Source organism: Homo sapiens, chromosome 7 (genome assembly GCF_000001405.40).
Source record: "Homo sapiens chromosome 7, GRCh38.p14 Primary Assembly".
NCBI lineage: Eukaryota > Metazoa > Chordata > Mammalia > Primates > Hominidae > Homo > Homo sapiens.
Window position 1 is genome coordinate 80,163,305 of NC_000007.14, and position 20,314 is coordinate 80,183,618.

At 36.7% G+C, this 20,314-nt stretch overlaps 1 protein-coding gene across 2 annotated transcripts in view, besides 1 other annotated feature; it reads left to right on the top strand.

The window, feature by feature from the left end:
• The window catches only part of GNAI1 (G protein subunit alpha i1), a 91,351-nt gene that overhangs the window by 28,474 nt on the left and 42,563 nt on the right, over positions 1-20,314 (top strand). The window lies entirely within an intron of this gene.
• Positions 1,540-2,356: an enhancer, noted in NCBI's record as "OCT4-NANOG-H3K27ac hESC enhancer chr7:79794160-79794976 (GRCh37/hg19 assembly coordinates)". NCBI's record gives its function as "activates a minimal SCP1, AML or CMV promoter by ChIP-STARR-seq in naive H9 embryonic stem cells {active_cell/tissue: H9 hESC(naive)}" and the evidence as "EXISTENCE:reporter gene assay evidence [ECO:0000049][PMID:30033119]".

Below are 20,314 nucleotides of genomic sequence, written 5' to 3' on the forward strand. Positions count from 1 at the left end.
TTCTGTGGGTAGGTTCATACCTGTTTACCAAATGCAGGTGTCTTCTGAACAGTAATGAGTTCTTACACCTTGCTTGATCTCTACATGTCCTCTTAATAAGATGGTCTGTTCGTAGTAGATTCTCCATCACTCCATTGTGTGTTTAGCGAACTCTTCACTGTTGGCACATTAATTATATTCAACTGAAATTCACTTACATAACTACTTAGCTCAAACCAGTAACACATATTTGAGAAACTGAGCATTTTGAGTCCAAGTTCTGTGTTTTACATTAAATTAAACATATGTGAAGATAGTTTTAGCCCATTATTGTTGAATTTTGAGATATTTAGAGACAGTAGTTTTCCTTTTGTCTTTTTGCCTACCTCATAGTCAGAGTATGAATTCTGTTGCATATAATCCACATGTTGATACTAATTCATTAATCAGTATTCTTTAGAGTTGCCCCACAAGGTGCAAACCTACGTAAACTGGAGGCCAGCCTTGTATTCTTGTATTGAACATAAGAATATCATGCGGCATATTGTAAAAGCATCACTGAGATTACACTGCTCTAGGCCTCAGATATGGTCCATGCCTTTTTTCTTGTGTCTAATAGTCTTATCAAAACAGAACTGACCTTTTTTAGTGAATCTATGCTGCTTTGTCAAACTGGTGCTTTCTTTTTTTTTTTTTTTTGGTGGGGGGACCGAGTCTCTCTCTGTCACCAGGCTTCTTTGTCAAACTGGTGCTTTCTTTTTTTTTTTTTTTTTTTTTGTGGGGACTGAGTCTCTCTCTGTCACCAGGCTGGAGTGCAGTGGCGTGATCTTGGCTCACTGCAACCTCCACCTCCTGGGTTCAAGCAATTCTTCTGCCTCAGCCTCCCAAGTAGCTGGGACTACAGGTGTGCGCCACCACATCCAGCTAATTTTTGTATTTTTAGTAGAGATGGAGTTTCACTGTGTTGGCCAGGATGGTCTCATCTCTTGACCTCGTGAGCTGCCACCTCGGCCTCCCAAAGTGCTGGGATTACAGGCGTAAGCCACCGCACCTGGCTGCTTTCTTTTTTTCTTGCTTTCCTTTTTTTCTTTTTTTTTGAGACGGAGTCTTGCTCTGTCGCCCAGGCTGGAGTGCAGTGGTGTAATCTCGGCTCACTGCAAGCTCCGCCTCCTGGGTTATGCCATTCTCCTGCCATAGCCTCCCTAGTAGCTGGGACTACAGGCGCCCACCACCACACCCGGCTAATTTTTTTGTATTTTTAGCAGAGACGGGGTTTCACCGTGTTAGCCAGGATGGTCTTGATCTCCTGACCTCGTGATCTGCCTGCCTTGGCCTCCCCACTTTCTTTTTGAGTACTCACATTTTACTTTTTAATGAGTTGTCTTCAGAATTGGCAGAAGTTGACTCTAGACTTTACCTAATTTTATCACTGCCTCTTTTAATTTGGGGCATTTATCCATCTCTGCTCTTCTCTAACATCCTCCATGATTTCTCAAATTTCCTTTGATGAGTTTACAAAGATACCAGTAATTGGAGAAGCAAAAATGATGATTTAATAATAGCTGATTGACATTTCAGAGCATTAGTATACCACTTACTTCTTTACTCGACCTTTTTAATAGCAATGGAGAGGCATTGGAAAAAAGGATATATGAAAAGTTAGAAAATACGCCTATGAGAAAAAGCTAAAGATGACATTATTTGTCTCCAAAAAAGAGAAAGCTCAGACTTTATATGTGAGGATGTATTGTAGTAGCCAGCTCTTTTGTATGTTCCACCAAGACCGAACTGAAGGGAATTGATTTAGGCTGCATTATTAAGGGATGTATATTGAGTATTAATAGGAGTTTTATGATTCTGAATATTGTTCATCTCTGGAGGGACTTTTTGGTAGAAGTTGTGATTCCTCTCCCCTCTTAAATCTCTAAAAATAACATCAATTTTCATCTCTCAGTAATGTTGTACAGTGCTCCCAAAGGCTAAAAGAGATATTAGGTGACCTTTCAAGTCCTTTCTTGCTCAGTGACTTTGTCTTTTCACAGATCTCACTCCACAGCTAGAGATCTGTTGCATTAGATTCACTTTTGTTCTTTCTTTGTCATTTAAAGGGCTGTTAACATTCCATCATGAATCTGCTAATGGAAGGGTGACCCTGCAGTTTAATATACTATCCTAGTGTAAAAATAAAACTCCACTTTGTATGTTTATGTAAAATACAGATGCTTTATGTGGTATTTCAGTTATTTAAAAAACATGAGATATTTGATAAATTATTTTTAAAGACAGTCTTTATTTTCAGTTTACCTTCAGAGTTTTGGCAGAATGTTTTCTCTTTCTCTTGTGAAATTGAACATACTGTGCATTTATTTTTATTTTTTCATTCAAGCACTTTATTTCTAGTTCTTTTAGTTAACATATTCTGTAACTAGAAGTAGTTTTTAGTATAATAGTTTTTAAAAACTAGATTACCAAAGAACAAATGCTATTTGAGAATATAATCTCTCAAAATTTCTGATTTGGAAATAAATCATAGATAAAAAATCAAGGTTAATATGTAAAATACTTTGATAGCAGTTACTGTACCATTTGGACAATATTATCTCGTTTGATCTTTGTTACTTTTACTTCGTTGAGAACTAAATACAGAGAGGGTATATTAATATAAAACCTTGGACTCCTAGATCTCAGCTTACAAATAGGGATTTTGGGCAATTTGCTTAATCTTTGTTTATTAAACCTCAGTTTTACCATTTATAGTCTAGCATGGTAATGGCACAGTGCTTGTTTAGATTGCTGGAAAAATAAATACAGAATCCTTAGCATAGTGTTTGTCACATAGTAAGAGCTATAAAGATTATTATTTTTATGCATTAACAACAGATTACATTTTGCTTACTACCATTCACTAGGCATTATGCTAAGCAGTGAGCATATAAGGACAAAAATATTTCATTCTTTGCACTGGGGAATCTTTCATCCTTGTATTGGAAACATAGGTAGAAACATGTAATTGTGATATGAGTGCTCATAGACATGCAGTCTTCCAGAAAGTAGAGTTGGATAATAATTTGATTGTTGGAGAAAACAGAATTTCGAAATTGTTTAAAAAAACAGAGGGGGTTACTATTTCTTTAGATTGTTCTCATTTTAGCAAAATAGATTGATACATTATTCTTACAAATAATCATAAAGTAGACATAAACAGTTTTCCTTTGCTTGAATATAAATGTGTTTAGAAGATAGTTGGAGGAACTGGAGAGCCTCTTAGTTCCATTTACATACTGATATTAATATTCTAAGTTGATTTTAGGATTACTCACATTCAATTTATATTCTAATGTTGTTTATTTAACTCTACATGTGATAATTTACTTTTAGTCCCTTAAAATGACATGGGTGCTTTGGCAATAATATCTATATTTATAAAGTTACTTTCAGTTTGATATCTCCCACCTCTCACTAATACTACTGTCATAGATTGGGGATGAAATGTTACAAATGAATCTTCTACATGTAATACATGTGTATACCTGTGGTTCTTAAAAATGATTTGCTGCAGCTTCCCAAGCAGGTTCCAGGTGCTCTTCCCTTTTTAGTCTTTAGATTTATAAGTTGACAAGATGTATAAAGCACTTTTGTCATTTGAGGCTTATTTGTCATGATTAGAGTATATTACCTGAGATGTCAAACAGCCTGTGAGAGCTGATGAGGTGACTGTCATCATTATAAATAATAGCCAGTGAGAGTGAGTGGGTTAATGGATTGCCATTTCCTGGTAGTGTTTAAGAAGCTAAGGTCACCTGAGAACCATTGGTGGTTTCATAGACTTCTTAGAGTTGGAAAGAAACTTGGAGTTACCCCTTCAGCCTCACAGCTAAGATAAGAATGACCTTTTTCTACATCTCTGACTAATGGACATCCAGACTCGAACACTGCACATGGATGCATGGAAGAAAGACAAGAAAGTTTTTCCTTGCAATGCTCAGCATTATGTGGAATGTAGACATTTGTAGCGTCTGTAGTATGTATAGCAGGAGGCGTATGCAGTTAGGTTCACTTTTCTGTGCTTAAGATGGTGGTCAGTGTCACAAAAGTGAAGATGGAGTCAGAAGTCTGGCAAAGGAAAAGATTTTCGTATTTTACTTCACCTGGAGTAGTAGCTCCCATCCTGCCAGACCCGATGCTCACTTTTGTAATATAATTTTAATGCCCCCTATAATATTCCGAAACAAAATTTGTAGATAATAGTAACCTATTTTCATATATTTACTAAAAACCACTATAATATGCCCATCTGCAATATATTAGAGAAATAAAAGTAATTTATCCCGTTTTTCAGTATGTAAATGCTCAGCCACAACTGTGTCTTTATAAAAGTTGGATGCTTGTTTCCTTATATAGAATCATTTATAGTTCACTGTACATGCAAACTGCAATAGATGTGCCATTGAGAATATGGCATGCAGAAATGGTGTTCAACTTTACTGAAATTTCCAAATGACAAGGATTACAGTCTTCTCTCTTTTATGCAGTAGTTGCATTGCTGGAAAAAGTCAACACATATCAAAATCATGCAAAAAAAGTCTTTGTGTTTATGTGGAAAATTGAATTAGGTAGTAGATTCAGATATTATAAAGTTACGATTTTTCACCAACAAAATATAGGTCATTAGCAAATTGTGCAGGACATGGAAAGTACTCTGTTGATGGGATTCTTCTGTATATCACAGTAGTATACCCAACCACACCAATGACCAAAAATGTTCCCACAAATTCCCATTAAACTGTTCCTGGGCTAGCGCTATCCTTTTTGAGAATCATTGCCCTTAGCTGACTCCATGAGAACTTCAACTTGCAACTTGAAGCCCTAGGTGCTGCCTCAGACTAGAGAATATACAAGAAATGGCATTTGACAGGTGCTCTAGAAATCTCTAGTCATGTACTTAACCCTCTTTTTACTCATTTACTCGGTTTTTAAAAGATTACTGTGAAATGTATTAGAAACAAGCCCCCCCATGCATACAAAGGCCATAACTAGAACATCTGATTCACTTAAAAATTCCGACAAAATATACATAATATTCACCATTTTAATTATTTTATTTATTTATTTATTTATTTTTGAGACAGAGTCTCACTTTGTCACCTAGGCTGGAGTGCAGTGGCACGATCTCGGCTCACTGCAAGCTCCGCCTCCTGGGTTCACACCATTCTCCTGCCTCAGCCTCCCGAGTAGCTGGGACTACAGGTGCCCGCCACCACGCCCGGCTAATTTTTGTATTTTTAGTAGAGTCAGGGTTTCACCGTGTTAGCCAGGATGGTCTCGATCTGACCTTGTGATCTGCCTGCCTTGGCCTCCCAAAGTGCTGGGATTACAGGCGTGAGCCACCGCGCCTGGCCAATTATTTTTAAGTGTACAGTTCAGTGGCATTAAGTACAGTCACATTGTTGTTCACCATCACCAGTGTCCATCTCTGGGACTTCTACATCATCCCAAATTAAAACTCTTTACCAATTAAATAATAAATCCCCATTGCTTCTTCATTCCCAGCTCCTGACAACCACTATCCTACGTTTCTAAAAATTTACCCTACTGGTTTGACTAAAAATATTTTATTACAGGTTTTTCTTTTTGATGATGTTAGGTTGACTGTCTTTTTATGTTACAGGACCTATATATTGCCTCTGTTGCCAGAAACTTACGCTTCATTTTGTTTCTTTAATGTTGCTTGTTCTGTCCCTTAAATGTAACTAATAATATTCTAATTACTCTTCTTTCTGTACTTCTGTCCCTGATTCTTTTGATTTTGTCATAAACTATGATTTTCCCCTTTAAAATGTTCTTAGATTTAAAATAGGGGGTAAGAACTGTGTCTTGACAGATGACAATTGTAGTTAGATTCCGTAGTCTACACGTGGCTTTTGCGGTGGTTTTCCATCCACTTGCCTCTGCTCTCTTTAATAAAGTTCTGTTGTGACTGTTAAAAGGCCTAAAACCTTTTAACGTTTGCAAGTTGGAGACTTATAGGCTAAAATTTCCTCCTGAGGGAATCCTTTTGTATTTCTAGTATCATTTTAAAGTAATAGACATGTATCATTTTCTCATATCAAACACCACCCCTATCTATTAGGTAAAATCTTTGGACTTCTATTTTATATAAAATCAGTAGTCTTTCAGCAAATTGTGTATTCAGAAATGCTACACAATAGAAGAGGAGGTGGAATGAAGGTTCCATTTAGGAACAGTTTGCTCTTAGCAAGTAACCAGGTGTTAGTGTTTCAGGATGACTTCATGGAAGGGAAGTCATTGAAATGTCTATAATCAGGTTTTTAAGTGTCATTCCCAAATTATCTTGTTGATTATTGATTACCAAATTTTATTAACTTTTAAAGACAGTTTTATTGAGATATAATTCACCAAAAATCATTAAAGTATATTTCCATAATTTTCAAGTTTAGGCATAATGTCGTGCAGCCATTACCATAATCAATTTTGGAATATTTATATTACCACCAAAAATTTCATGACCTTTACCAGTCACTTCTCATTTCCCACAAAACCCACACCCTTACTCAACCACTGGTCTACGTTCTGTCTCTATAGATTTGACATTTCTGGACATTTCGTATAAATGGAATCATATAATACGATCTTTGGATTCTTTCACTGAGCATAATAATGTTCATAAGGTTCCTCTACATTGTCACATGTATCAGTACTTTGTTCTTTTTCATAGCTGAGTAATTCCATTGTACAGACGGGCTACATTGTTTACCTCTTTATCCGTTGATGGACAGTTGTCTTGTTTCCACCATTTTGCTATTATGATGCTGCTATAAACATTCATGTACAACTTTTTGCCTGTGAGTATATTTCATTTTTGTTGTGTATGTATGTAGGATTGAGTGTTTAACCTTTTGAATAAATGCCAGAGTGTTTTCCAAAGTGGTTGTACCATTTACATTCCTAGCAAGCAGTGTATGAAGATTCCATAATTCTTCTACATTTCAGCAATACTTGGATTGTCTACCTTTTTATTATGGCCATCCTAGTGGGTGTGAAGTAGTACCTTTATTGTGGTTTTGATTTCCATTTCCCTGATGACTAATGTTATTGATCATCTTTTCATGTTTATTAACCTCTCTGAAAACTCAAGTGTACAAAATCCCTAATGGAGGCCTTATTAGTCCATTCCTGCACTGCTATCAAGAAATACCTGAGACTGGGTAGTTTATAAAGAAAAGAGTTTTAATTGGCTCACAGTTCTGCAGGCAGTACAAGAAGCATGGCTGGGAGGCATCAGGAAACTTTCAGTTATGGTAGAACACGAAGGGGAAGCAGGTATGTCTTGCATGACTGGAGTAGGAGGAAGAGAGAGGCGGGAGGTGATATATACTTGTAAGAAACCAGATCTCAGATAACTCACTCACTATCACCAGAACAGCACCAAAGGGGAAATCTACCCCCATGATGCAGTCACCTTCCACCAGCTCCACTTCCAACATTAGGGATTACAATTTGTCATGAGATTTGGCTGGGGACACAGACCCAAACCATATTAGAAACTCTAACCTGGCAGTTTGCTCCATTAGTGATGATGGATCAAAGGGACATAGTGTATTTCATTAATTCTAAGATAGACATTTTTCACATTTGACATCACTAAAATCAGTGCATTTTACAGTAAATATATTATGGCTTTAGTAAAGACAGTTTGGAAAAGAAAATTCAGTTTACAGTTGAGGTTCATTACTTCTGGTTCTCTTAGTCCTAGAGCAACTGATTCAACTAGAAACTAAAGTATATTGTTAAATTAGGACCAAATAGTTCCTTCTCTTACAGCTCATCAGATTAAAATTATGATGTGATGCCTGTTTACCTACGTACGCCTTTTCTGATTAGTATTTACTTGCCAATTTATAGGCAATGATAAATTTGATGTATTTATCCTCATTAAAAAATCCTTGTAAAAAATTTATTAATTTATTGGGTGTTTCCTCAAGATTTTTTTCTATGTTCTTCTTTGTAAACTTTAGGTCTCTGTGTGTCAATGCGTGTGAAATAGTGCAGGGATTTAGTGAAGGCTGCACCATCATTTATCATTGTTAGACTCACTCTTGTCTGGCAAAGACAGCTGACGAAGAAAAATATTGAAGGCTTGTCTTTTATTGATCTCCACTGGACTTTGACCCTTGCAGAAACTGGCTATGGCCAGAATGTATGAAGACAACGTCATCTTTTATTATTGATGTTTATTTTAATTTACATCTTGATGTAAAATGGCATCTAGCGAAACTGTATGCTTCCCATAGTATTATAGAAAACTAGGGTGCAGGGCGAAACAATCCTATTGACAGATGATGTACTTTGATAGATTCTGGCATCAGATTATTAGATTATATCTTTTCCGGAACCAAATTTGCTTCTGTATAACTTCTGTTTTTGATTTTAAATTTCAGTGTCTTAGTTACACAGTATGACTTCTCTTTCATAGGAGGGCTCTTCAGTTATTTATCAGACATCTTATTTACACTAGTCTTTTTTCCTTCTAAACATTCCTTCCTCCCTCAGCTTTTCTTCAAATGAAATAGTTTGTTTTGTACACCACATCTCTGTATATAATCCTATTTGTGTGCCCTTCCTGGAAAAATGTCTTTAAAAATGATATTTGAAAGAATAGTGGTCCAGTGAAAAGTATAATAGTACTTGTACTTTTAGGATTATATGAACTTGTACACATTTTATTTGTATCAGCCTTTCTGTAATCTTTTACTGTCATTTTCTTGTAATCTGAGCTTTTTGGAATTAGGACCTACATGTTATTTAACTTTGACTAGATTTCTTAACGTTGTCCTGGCTATGTCTATGAAATAGTTCATTTTGAAAGATTTCTATGGCTAGTGAATAGTTGGAGGTTCGTAAAAAGAGGTGAGGCTGAAAGGTCTTTGGGTCCAGTTCTAGAAATGCCTGGAATGCCATGCTAAGAAGTTTGCATTAAAAAGTTGTTACAGATTTAAACATTTTAGAAAAAGAGTTCTGTAAGGAATATGCAATTTGGGAGCTGAAGGTAGTTAAGTTTTGAATATGTTAATATGCAGAGGGAAGTTTCCTTTGTCTCATGGGATCAGATTTTGTCTGTCAAACCAACCTGTCTTAAGGGAACTTCTAAAAACAAAATAAAAATTGCCAGCATACCTTGAGTATTTATTTTAGTCAAAAACATATGCTTCTATTCAGCAATCTTTTGATGTAGAGTCATGACCTTTTTTTTCTTGAAGTATTGTTCAGAGTTGTCTTTTTCACATAACCAAAATGTACTCATTTCCAGTTTCTGTTTCTTTCAAGTGAGAATTTAAAGATACTTGCAAAGCAACGTGAATGAAGAATCCTTCCAGATTGTAACATCCTTTTTCCTCCGTACTTAAGAATTATCTCACCTTTTTACCTGTTCAGCGGCATTTTTTAGCAGCTTGCCTTACTTATTTTCTTTCCGTGGCATTCACCTTAGTTTTCACGAGGAAAACCAAAACAAATTTTTTTTAAAAAACTTTCATCTTGCATGTTTATTTGCATAATATTAGAAGTTTTTTAAAACGTAAAGATGGAACCGAGGGTAAAGGAAAGAGTAGGTTTATGGAGTGTGACAGAGACTGCCAGTTATCCCCCCAATAACCAGTGTCCTTCAGCATCTGTTTTCTGGGCACATGGCCACACAGTTAGTGACTGTATTTCCTAGCCTTTCTTGAAGCAAAATGAGGCCAGAAGACAAGCTTCTGCCTATGAGGATGTGAATGGAACTGATGGGTACTGGTACCACTTCTGGATTGTGCCCTTAAGGTGAAAGGACACCTCCTCCACTTCCCGTACTTGTTTTCTCCCTCCTGCTGACTGCAGGGTTCATGTACAGGTGGGATCATGAACAGATATCTTACATCTGAGGTGGAAGCCATCTCATGAAGATGACAGCACAAAAATATATGTCTTTTATATCTTGTCTAAATATACTTTTAAATTATGCTTAGAAACCTGTTACGTATGTTTTAGTAGGATTAGAGTAATTAATTTGGACTATAGCTTAGATGTCAAGTAAAAAAAAGTTATTTTAATTTATCCTGTACACAGCCTACCTCCTCCTGAGCCCCTATATTCTGATAAGTAGGGAAAAACTAGAGAATGTCCCAAAACTGCAAAATGCTTAAGCCTTAGTCCTGTCTGATAATTTTAAAAGTCCACTTATATAGTGTTCAGATAAAAATGTTTCATCACTTGCCATGCTCCCCTTCTGCTATGCTCCCCAATTGGTGTGGGGGACAGCAGGTGGGTGGGAAGGGAGGGAAGAGTGGCTTAAACTCATTGTAGCAGGAATTGTCTGATCGCATAGATGTGATGTTCTGTGCCTCCCTAGTCTCAGAGGTGATGGCTTCCTGGTATTCCTGGCATCACAAATGAAATATCTGGTGCTATAACTCATAGCTTGCTTGGAGCTTACCTGCTTGAGTTCCCTCTAAGTGCAGTCCTCAGTCTTTTACTAAGTCTTGGTCGTCTCTCCTACGCTATATTGGTCCATGTAACATCCCAGTGTCTGTCAACTCAGTTACCACACTGTCTGAAAATTAGAGGTGCCTTGATTGGGAAATATCAACCCCAGAGGCTCTCCTGCCCAAATGTGGTGTGGTCATTTTTAGGGCCCACGTTGATAAGGGGCCCAACTTGGGAGAAAATGTGGGGAAGGATTGGAGGTAGGGGTTATCAGGAAACTTTGGAGAGTTAAAAGTAATTTGCTTCGACTAGGAGTGAGATTTATGTATATGAGTGATGAGATGGGAAGATGGGTAGATGCAAAGGAAATTAAAGATGATTTTATTCAACTTAAATCATAGAGATACCATTTTTTTCTAAATAAATCGCATAATTTTGATTTAGTGTAAAAATTTGGAAATTACAGAAACATTCAAGAAGTAAAAACACACTACTCCAGTATAAACACTTTTTTCACTCAGAGATCATTGTTCTGAGTTTTAATTTTTTTAAATTTATTTTTTAAACAATATTTCTTCAATGTAATTTTTCCCTTGTACTTGTCTTTTATGAATAAACATATGTATATATAGCTCTAAAATACACTATATATGCTTATTTTCCCTCTATGAATAGTTTTTGTATCTTCTGCTGTTTTTTTTTTTTTAGAATATTGGTATTTTTCTTGTAAGTTCATTATGTATTAAAGAAAACTATAGTTTGATACTCATTAATTATAAATATTTTTTCCTATTCTGTAGTTTGCCTTTATATTTTATTTATGGTTTTACTTTTTTTCTTCAAGTAGGTTTTGGGGCTTTTTATTTTATTTTATGTGTTATGTTTACATGTTTATATATTTGTTTATATATTTAAGTCTAGCCTGCTTTTAAAAAATTTGTCAGCGTAAAAGCCAGGCTCTTGGATCGCATAAACCGAACCTGACCATGGCTTAAGGAAGGCAGATGTTTATTTCTCCCATGTCACAAATATAAGTTTAAATAGTCTTGAGGTGCTTTACCCCATGTCATTCAGGGATCCAAGTACTAGTAGTCAGTCATTGATTCTTCACTACTGTGCACCTGTAATAAAAGAAAAAGCTAAAGAAGCAAAAAGTATTATTATTTTCATTAAACCTTGAGCCATAAATATATATCTCTTTAATATTCCATGTGACCAAATGGGAAATACACTTACAGTACTCCTGTATACCAAAGCATGATGGTTGGTTATCATGAGGGAAAGCAGTTGTATGAATGTTTGAGTTGTGAACTGAACTAGTTCTTTTCTTGGAAAACCATTTTTAATTGATAGACAAACTATGGTTAGTCCACCTTGGGATTGGCAGAGTTAGCCATTCACTTCAAGGAAAATAGCTAACAGTATTTGTTGTCAGCAATAAAATTTGAACTTTCAAGCCAAATAAAATTTTTAAAATAAAAATATTTAAAAACTTGTTCCTGCTACTGGCATCTCGGCGTCTTCACAAGACTGAAATCCTTTTCTGAGGAGATTATGAGTAATTTTGAAAAGGAAATTAAAAAATATATATGTGTATATTTATGTGTGTGTGTGTGTGTGTGTATAAAAATAATGAAAGACATCAACATTTGGTCCTGCAAAACTTAACCAATTTCCAAATCAAACATGGGTTAAAGATTCATTCCAAGTACAAGATAGACCGATGGATTTAATGTACAGGCATACCTTGTATTATTGTTCTTCACTTGATTGTACTTTGCAGATACTGCCTTTTTTTTTTTTTTTTTAACAAATTGAAGGTTTGTGGCCACCCTGCATCCAGCAAGTCTGTCAACACCATTTTTCTAATATGTGTGCTCATTTTGTATCTCTGTGTCACATTTTGGTAGTTCTTACAATATTTCAGATGTGATCTGGGATCAGTGATCTTTGATGTTACTATTCTAATTGTTTTAGAGTGCCATAAACTCTGCCCACATAAGACAAAGAACTTAATAAATATATGTGTTCTCATTGCTTCACTGGACTGGCTGTTCTCTCATATCTCTACCTCTCCTCAAACCTCCCTATTTCCTGAGACACAGGAATATTGAAATTAGGCTTATTACTAACCCTGCAGAGTGGCCTCTAAGTGTTCAAAGGAAAGGAAGAGTCACAAGTCTCTCAGTTTAAGTCAAAAGCTAGAAATGATTAAGCTTAGTGAGGAAGTCATGTCCAAAGATAGGCTAAATGCTAGTGCTGTTGCACCTGAGATAGGCTGAATGCTAGTCCTCTTGCACCAAACATTTAGCCAAGTTGTGAATGTAAAGGAAAAGTTCTTGAAGGAAATTAAAAGTGCTACTGCAATGGACACACGAATGATAAAGTGAAACAGCCTTATTGCTGACATGGAGAAAGTTTTAGTGGTCTGGATAGAAAATCAAACTAGCCACAACATTCCCTTAAGCCAAAGCCTAAGCCGTATCTAGGCCCTACCTCTTCCGTTCCGTGAAGGTTGAGAGAAGTGAGGAAGCTGCAGGTTCAGGAGCTTGAAGGAAAGAAGCCATCTCCATAAAATAAAAGTGCAAGGTAAAGCAGCAAGTGCTGATGTAGAAGCAGCAGCAGGTTATCCGGAAGATCTAGCTAAGATCGTTGATGAAGATGACTACACTAAACAACAGATTTTCAATGTAGGCAAAACAGCCTTCTATTTGAAGAAAGTCTCATCTAGGACATTCATAGCTAGAGAGGAAAAGTCAGTGCCTGGCTTCAGAGCTACAAAGGACAGACTTACTCTCTTGTTAGGGGCTAATGCAGCTGGTGACTGCTGAAGTCAGTGCTCATTTAGCATTCTGTATATCCTAGAGCCCTTAAGAATTATACTAACTCTTGGCCAGGTGTGGTGGCTCACGCCTGTAATGCCAGCACTTTTGGGAGGCCAAGGCGGGCAGATCACCTGAGGTCAGGAGTTCGAGACCAGCCTGGCCAACATGGTGAAACCCCCATCTCTACTAAAAATATAAAAATTAGCCAGGGGTGGTGACAGGGGCTGTAATCCCAGCTACTCGGGAGGCTGAGGCAGGAGAATCTCTTGAACCCAGGAGGCTGAGGCTGCAGTGAGCTGAGATCACGCCACCGCACTCTAGCCTGGGCGACAAGGGGAGACTCTGTCTCAAAAAAAAAAAAAAAAAAAAAATTATACTAAGTCTGCTGTGCCTGTGCTCTGTAAATGGAAGAACAAAAGCATGGATGACAGCATATCTTTTTTTTTTTTTTTTTTTTTTTTGAGATGGAGTTTTGCTCTGTCGCCCAGGCTGGAGTGTAGTGGCACAATCTTGGCTCACTGCAAGCTCCGCCTCCCGGGTTCATGCCATTCTCCTGCCTCTGCCTCCCGAGTAGCTGGGACTACAGGCACCCACCACCATGCCCTGTTAACTTTTTGTATTTTTAGTAGAGACGGGGTTTCACCGTGTTAGCCAGGATGGTCTTGATCTCCTCACCTTGTGATCCACCCGCCTCAGCCTCCCAAAGTGCTGGGATTACAGGCATGAGCCACCGCGCCCGGCCAGCGTATCTTTTTAGAGCGTGGTTTTCCTAATATCTTAAGCCCAGTGTTAAGACCTTACTGCACATATATAAAGATTCTTTTCAATATATTTCTGCTCTTTCACAATGCACCGCATTATCCAAGAGCACTGATGGAGAGGTACAAGGAATTTGTTGTTGTTGCTGTTTTTAGAGACAAGATCTTGCTCTGTTACCAGGATGGAGTGCTGTGGCATGGTCATAGTTTACTGCAGCCTTTGACTCCTGAGCTCAGGTGATTCTCCCTCCATAGCCTCCCATGTAGCTAGGACTACAAAATGCCTGGCCAGTGTTTTTTATTCTTATTTTTTGTAGAGTTGGGGGTCTTGTAATGTTGTCCAGATTGGTCTTGTACTCATGGCCTGAAGCTATTCTCCTGACTTGGCCTCCCAAGGGGATTATAGGTTTGAGCCACTGTGCCCAGCCTAATGTTGTTTTTACGCCTTCTAACACAGTATTTGTTCTGCAGCTTATGATCAGGAAGTAATTTCAACTTTCATGTGTTATTATGTGAGAAACACATTTTGTGAGGCTATAGCTGCCATTAGATAGTGATTCCTTTAATAGATCTGAGTAAAGTAAATTGAAAACCTTCTGAAAAGGATTAATCATTCTAGATGCCATGAAAAACATTTGTGATTCATGGGAAGAGACCAGAATATTAACATTAACAGGCATTTGAAAGAATGCCTGGGTTGATTCTAACCCTCATGAATGACTTTGAGGGGTTTGGGACTTCAGTAGAGGAAGAAGCTGCAGATGTGGTGGAAATAACAAGAGAACTAGAATTAGAAGTGGAGCCTGAAGATGTGAATGCAATATCATGATAAAACTTTAAGGAAAGAGGAATTGCTTCTTGTAGATGAACAAAGAAAATGGTTTCTTGAGATGGAGTCTTTTCCTGGTGAAGATGCTGTGAACATTGTTGAAATGACAACAAAGGATTTAGAATCTTAAATAAACTTAGTTGATAAAGCAGTGGCAGGGTTTTAGAGGATTGGATCCAATTTTGAAAGAAGTTCTGCTGCGGGTAAAGTGTTACTCAAAGAGCATCACATGCTGCAGAAAAATCTTTCTTGAAAGGTAGAGTCAGTCAGTGCAGCAGACTTCATTATTGTATTTTAAGAAATTGCCACAGCCACCCTCAACTTTCACCAACACTACCCTGATCAGTTGGCAGCCATCACCATGGAGGCAGGACCCTTCTCCAGCAGAAGATGATGACTCGCTGAAGGGTCAGATGATTGTTAACATTTTTTAGTAATAAAGTATTTTTTATTAAGGTATGTACATTTTTTAGACATCATGCTATTGCATAGTTAATATAGACTATGGTAGAGTGTGAACATAATTGTTATATGCACTGGGAAACCAAAAAATTGATATGAATTGATTTATTGCAATATTCTCTTTACTGCAGTGGTTTTGAATAGAACCCGTAATATCTCTGAGGTATACCTGTACAAAAATAAGAAAACTTCATAGAAATCGTTTCAGATTCTACACTGTAATCAAACTTTAAGAAGTTACCACTTCTCAAATTACGATGTAGAATAAGACTATCCATAATTATACTTAAATGTTATTGAATGATCCACCCTTTTCTAACTAAAGTATGTGAAAATGGATTTTCTTCTTATATTTCAACAAAAGTGTAATGTATTACAGTATATTAAATGCAGGAATAGATATGAGAATCCAGCTGCCTTTTATTGTGCTATTTGTAGAAATGCAAAACAGTGCTACTTGTCTTACTATTTTGGGGAGGGAAGGGAAAATATAATTATTCCATTAAAATAGTGTATTCCTTTTTAATAACTAGTTAGCAACTTAATGACTGTGTTATGATAACTAATCAAGAAAAAAGGAGGTGACCTTTTTCTTCTTTTTCTTCTTAGTGGCTCTCCATCTTTAGCATGCATCAGAATCACTTGGAGGAATTGTTAAAACACAGATTACTGGACGCCTCACCTCCAGAGTTTCTTTCTGATTCAGTAAACGCTGGATGGGGCCTGAGATGTCCATTTCTAACCAAATCCTCAGGTCATGCAGATACTGCCATCATAGCTTCAGAACCACTGTTCTACGTATTTCTTTGGCTTATTAGGCAAACTTGTTTTACCTGCCATTTGGGAAGGAAAAATACTAGAATTTTAAAAAGACATGTAGTTCAGGTATAAAGATGCTGGAAGTGTAGTATCCTTAGTTGCCAGAAATTTGGGAATTAATTAAAAATTAAGCAGAACAGTTTGTCAGAAATTATTCAGTGTCTGAGACTTTCCCCTACGTACAAGCTAACAATTTACCATATCACCATTTCATAAATACTGTGAAAAGACCTGAAATTCCTGGGTTAGAGACAAAAAGTTACTTTAATACAGCAGTTATGCCAGAGAATCAGCACTGGTGGTGATTTACCCAGTCCATAAGGGCAGCCTGAACAGTGCCAGGTGATAGGTGCACAAGAAGTGGGTTATGTTATAGTAGAGGAACCCTGACCTTAGGGATCACAATTTTTTAAAAATAAGTCAGTGTCTGACCTCTGTCCCAGAGGATATATTACCTTTATTATACTGGACAGTAAACCTATTTTTTGCCGTAGAAGGAGACATTATCTGTATCTTCTTGTCTCTGCAAATATCCTTGAAAAGATAGGAATAGGTAGTCTGTGACTCCGCTCACAAATGTGAGAGAGGCCCATGAAGAATTGCAGCTTGGCATAGGAAATGTTGAAAAAGTTTGTATATGTTAATTATTTGCCAGTCCTTAATAGAAAACAGCTTAGCAAAAACATGAGCGCAATTAGACTTGAGCTTTAGACAAAGCAGTATATGATTTCCTGATGAAGAAAAACATCCTCTTCCTGTGTGGTTCTAAATTATTTTCATAAATGTGTATGTATAATTGTCATAGGAAGTAAAATTTCTTACCCTTATAGGTCTTACATGAACTATAAAACAGAACATTCTTATAAAGTGTGTGTGTGTGTGTGTGTGTGTGTGTATATAAAGTGTAAATGTGAAGTTAGTATAAGAAGTAATGGTATGTTAGCCACAATAAATTGCACTTGCGATATGATTCTTTTGATTTGGCATACCTCTTCTGCAAAGGGCTGTATAATGTCAAATTTTCCCACATCTTTTTCTACCTAAAATTCTGTAGCTTTCTTTTGTGCAGCATGCAGTGTTTATTTGGCCTTCACTTGGTACAGATGCCTCATTAACCTCCTTTGTTTTTCCCTCATTAGCTCAAGATAATTAAAGTATTACTACTTGGCACAGGGGTAGTCAAGACTCTTTGGGTCAGTGTGACAGAAAGCAACCTCATACCTGGCTCTCATAGCTGGGAAATCAAGGTGGATTTGTCTGCAGTTACGACTAGAGTGATATATTTCCTGCTTGGCCCAGGTCAGTCCAGTTGAGCTTGTGTCCACTTTAACTCTCAAAAGTCCCTACTTTGAAGATAAATTATATGTTCTCCTGACTGGGCTTCATGTAAAGGTTCAAACAGTACTGTCAGGCCTCTCATGTCCTGGTCTTCATTCAGTGATGCTCTCCTAGGTTTTGGCCCATCCTTTAAGGGCATCCTCCATTATGTGATCATTGAAAATGGCTTTTGTGGGCCAGATTTCACATACCTTTTCAGTGCTGTAATCTTTCTTGATAGCTTTCATATAAAAGGGAAGGGAAAGACCAGCTCATTCCTTTGTGGGAGGAAAAAAAAATCACTGTATCTTAAGTGATTGTTTTGTAAGTTTTTATATATATATATTACATGTATATATCTTATATTGTAAAATTTTTGTTTGCTGGTTTATCTATAAGCATAAGGAATTTTATTCCCAATGACACCACTCTCATGGGCCACTTGGAAACACATGACACTTCTTCTTTGACCAGTTGGGTGACTGACAGTCAAACCAGATAGAGTGGTAGATGGAAAGGTCCCTCCAGCACAACATTTAACATTTGCTTAAGTATCTTAGGGACTTATAAACACAAACTCAAATATAGACCTTGAAACTGTATGACACCCTTCAAACATATGGTGTGATTAGAGTGACTTAGAGTTTATCACTATACAAATAAAAACACTGTATTAAAATGTTTTGCAGAAAACGTACACCTGAAAATATGCCTGTGGCCTCTGGTCCTCCACCCTTCCTCATCGAGTGGGTGTGTAGATTCAAATTTTAGAAACATTTTGTCTGTCAGTTCAGTTAGCCGAATGGTCTATTTGACGGGCATCTCAGAAAAGAGCTTCCAGTGCTGCACACAATTCTTTCTTTTGTCCTGCCTTTCTAGGGTAGCTTTGTGTGTGCATTCATTCATTTTTTTAAAACCACATAAATGTATTCTTTCATGCTTCTGCAGCTAAATGTTCAAAATCAAAGTGACAGTGGGGTTGCCTCCTTTGATACATAAAAATTATATATATTTACAGTATACAAGCTGATGTTTTACTATATGGGTACGTAAATAATTAAGTCAGGCTAATTAACGTATCCATCATCTTGCATACATACCATTTTTTGTGGTGAAAACATTTAAGATCTACTCTGTTAGTAGTTTTCAAGTATACAATATGTTGTTATTAACTGTTGTCACCATGATGTACAGTGGATCTCTACAACTTATTCATCGTAACTAAAACTTGGTACCCTTTGACCCACATCTCCCTCCCTCCCCTTCAGTTTCCCCAGCTAATCCTCCTGGTAATCACAGTTCTATGCTGTTTCTATGAGTCTGACTTTTTTTAGATTCTACATGTACTATACAAGTTAGATTATGTGGTATTTGCCCAGGTTTATCCATACTATCACGAATGACAGGATTTCCTTTTTAAGGCTGAATAATATTTCATTGTGTATATATACACAACATTTTCTTCATTCATCTCTTGACAGATAATTTAGATTGATTGCATAAGTTGGCTATTGTGAATAATGCTGCAGTGAACATATCTCATCAATATACTGATTTCATTTCCTTTGTGTGCATACATTCTTGCTCATTGTAATAGTATGATACCTATCTCAGAAGTGAATGGCTCAGGGGATAGTTTTATATGGAGTTAAGATTGGGGAAAGTGGGTCATTTTGAAGCTGTGGATTTTGGATTTGAACGTTTACAGTCATTATTAAATTCTTCTTATATTCCAGAATGTCAGATATCTCCCATGTATGTGTAAATATTTATTTAAATATAAGTTCAGAGCTTCTTAGAACTAAATGGAAAAGATTTTAGATAATTACCTTTGTTGGGGAATGATAATTAAAAACAAAATCTCCCAACCCAGGAATCCTCTTTACAAAAATAGCACAGAAAGAAAATATTTTCATTATTAAATAAGCATTAAACCAGATTGTGATGTACATCTAAGAGATTGAAAAGACAAAAGACCCTCACCCCTTTATACATTACAGCCTATTCAACCCATTACATGCATGTTCACGTGACAAACAGTAAGTCCTCAAGTAAGAAGACTTCAAAGCACCTTTGTCACACATAGCTTACCCTACCTTTACTGTGGTAATTGGGATGACCATCATGTTAGCTAATTGGCCTCATTCATAGGAGAAAAAGAAACTTCTATCTTTAGGACAGAAGTTAGTTTTACATCTTGGAGCAAGGTGCCCATGAAGTCAAGTTCCTACCCTGCCACAGAAACTGGGAGGCAGGATGCTATCTCCCTTGATATTTACATTTCAAAGAGATGGCTCCCAGGTCCTTGAGAAAGACATTCCTGAGTCATAAAGCTGGCAGAAGGCCTATTTTGTTTTCAAAAGAATATATTATATACATTTCAAAGAAAGAGAAACGTATTTCCAATTATAATTTTTCTAAAGTAAATGCTCTAAGAAAAAGGGAGGGAAATGTTTTTCATTTCAACAGGGAGAATTGAACGTTTTATTTTTAATTTATATTTGCCCTTGCACCCCTACTTTATCTACTTCTGTCTTAAATATAAGGACCTTGATCTTATTAATCTTACAGTAGCATTATAATAAAGAGAAAGGATTTTAAATGCATTTATAATTTAGTTTTAGTTCATTGTAGTTTAGTTTTATTCAGTGTTAACATTTTAAATCAGTAAATTCAACATAAAAATTAAGATTTCTTAAAAGGAGAGTAGAGGTATGAGGACTTCAGCATAAGATAACTTGGCTAAATCCCCATGTTGTAGCTGAACAGCCTGTGATGTTGGACACCCTCCATCCTTGAAGCCAGGAAATAAATGATATAAATGTGACCCTAAGCAAAAGTTGACC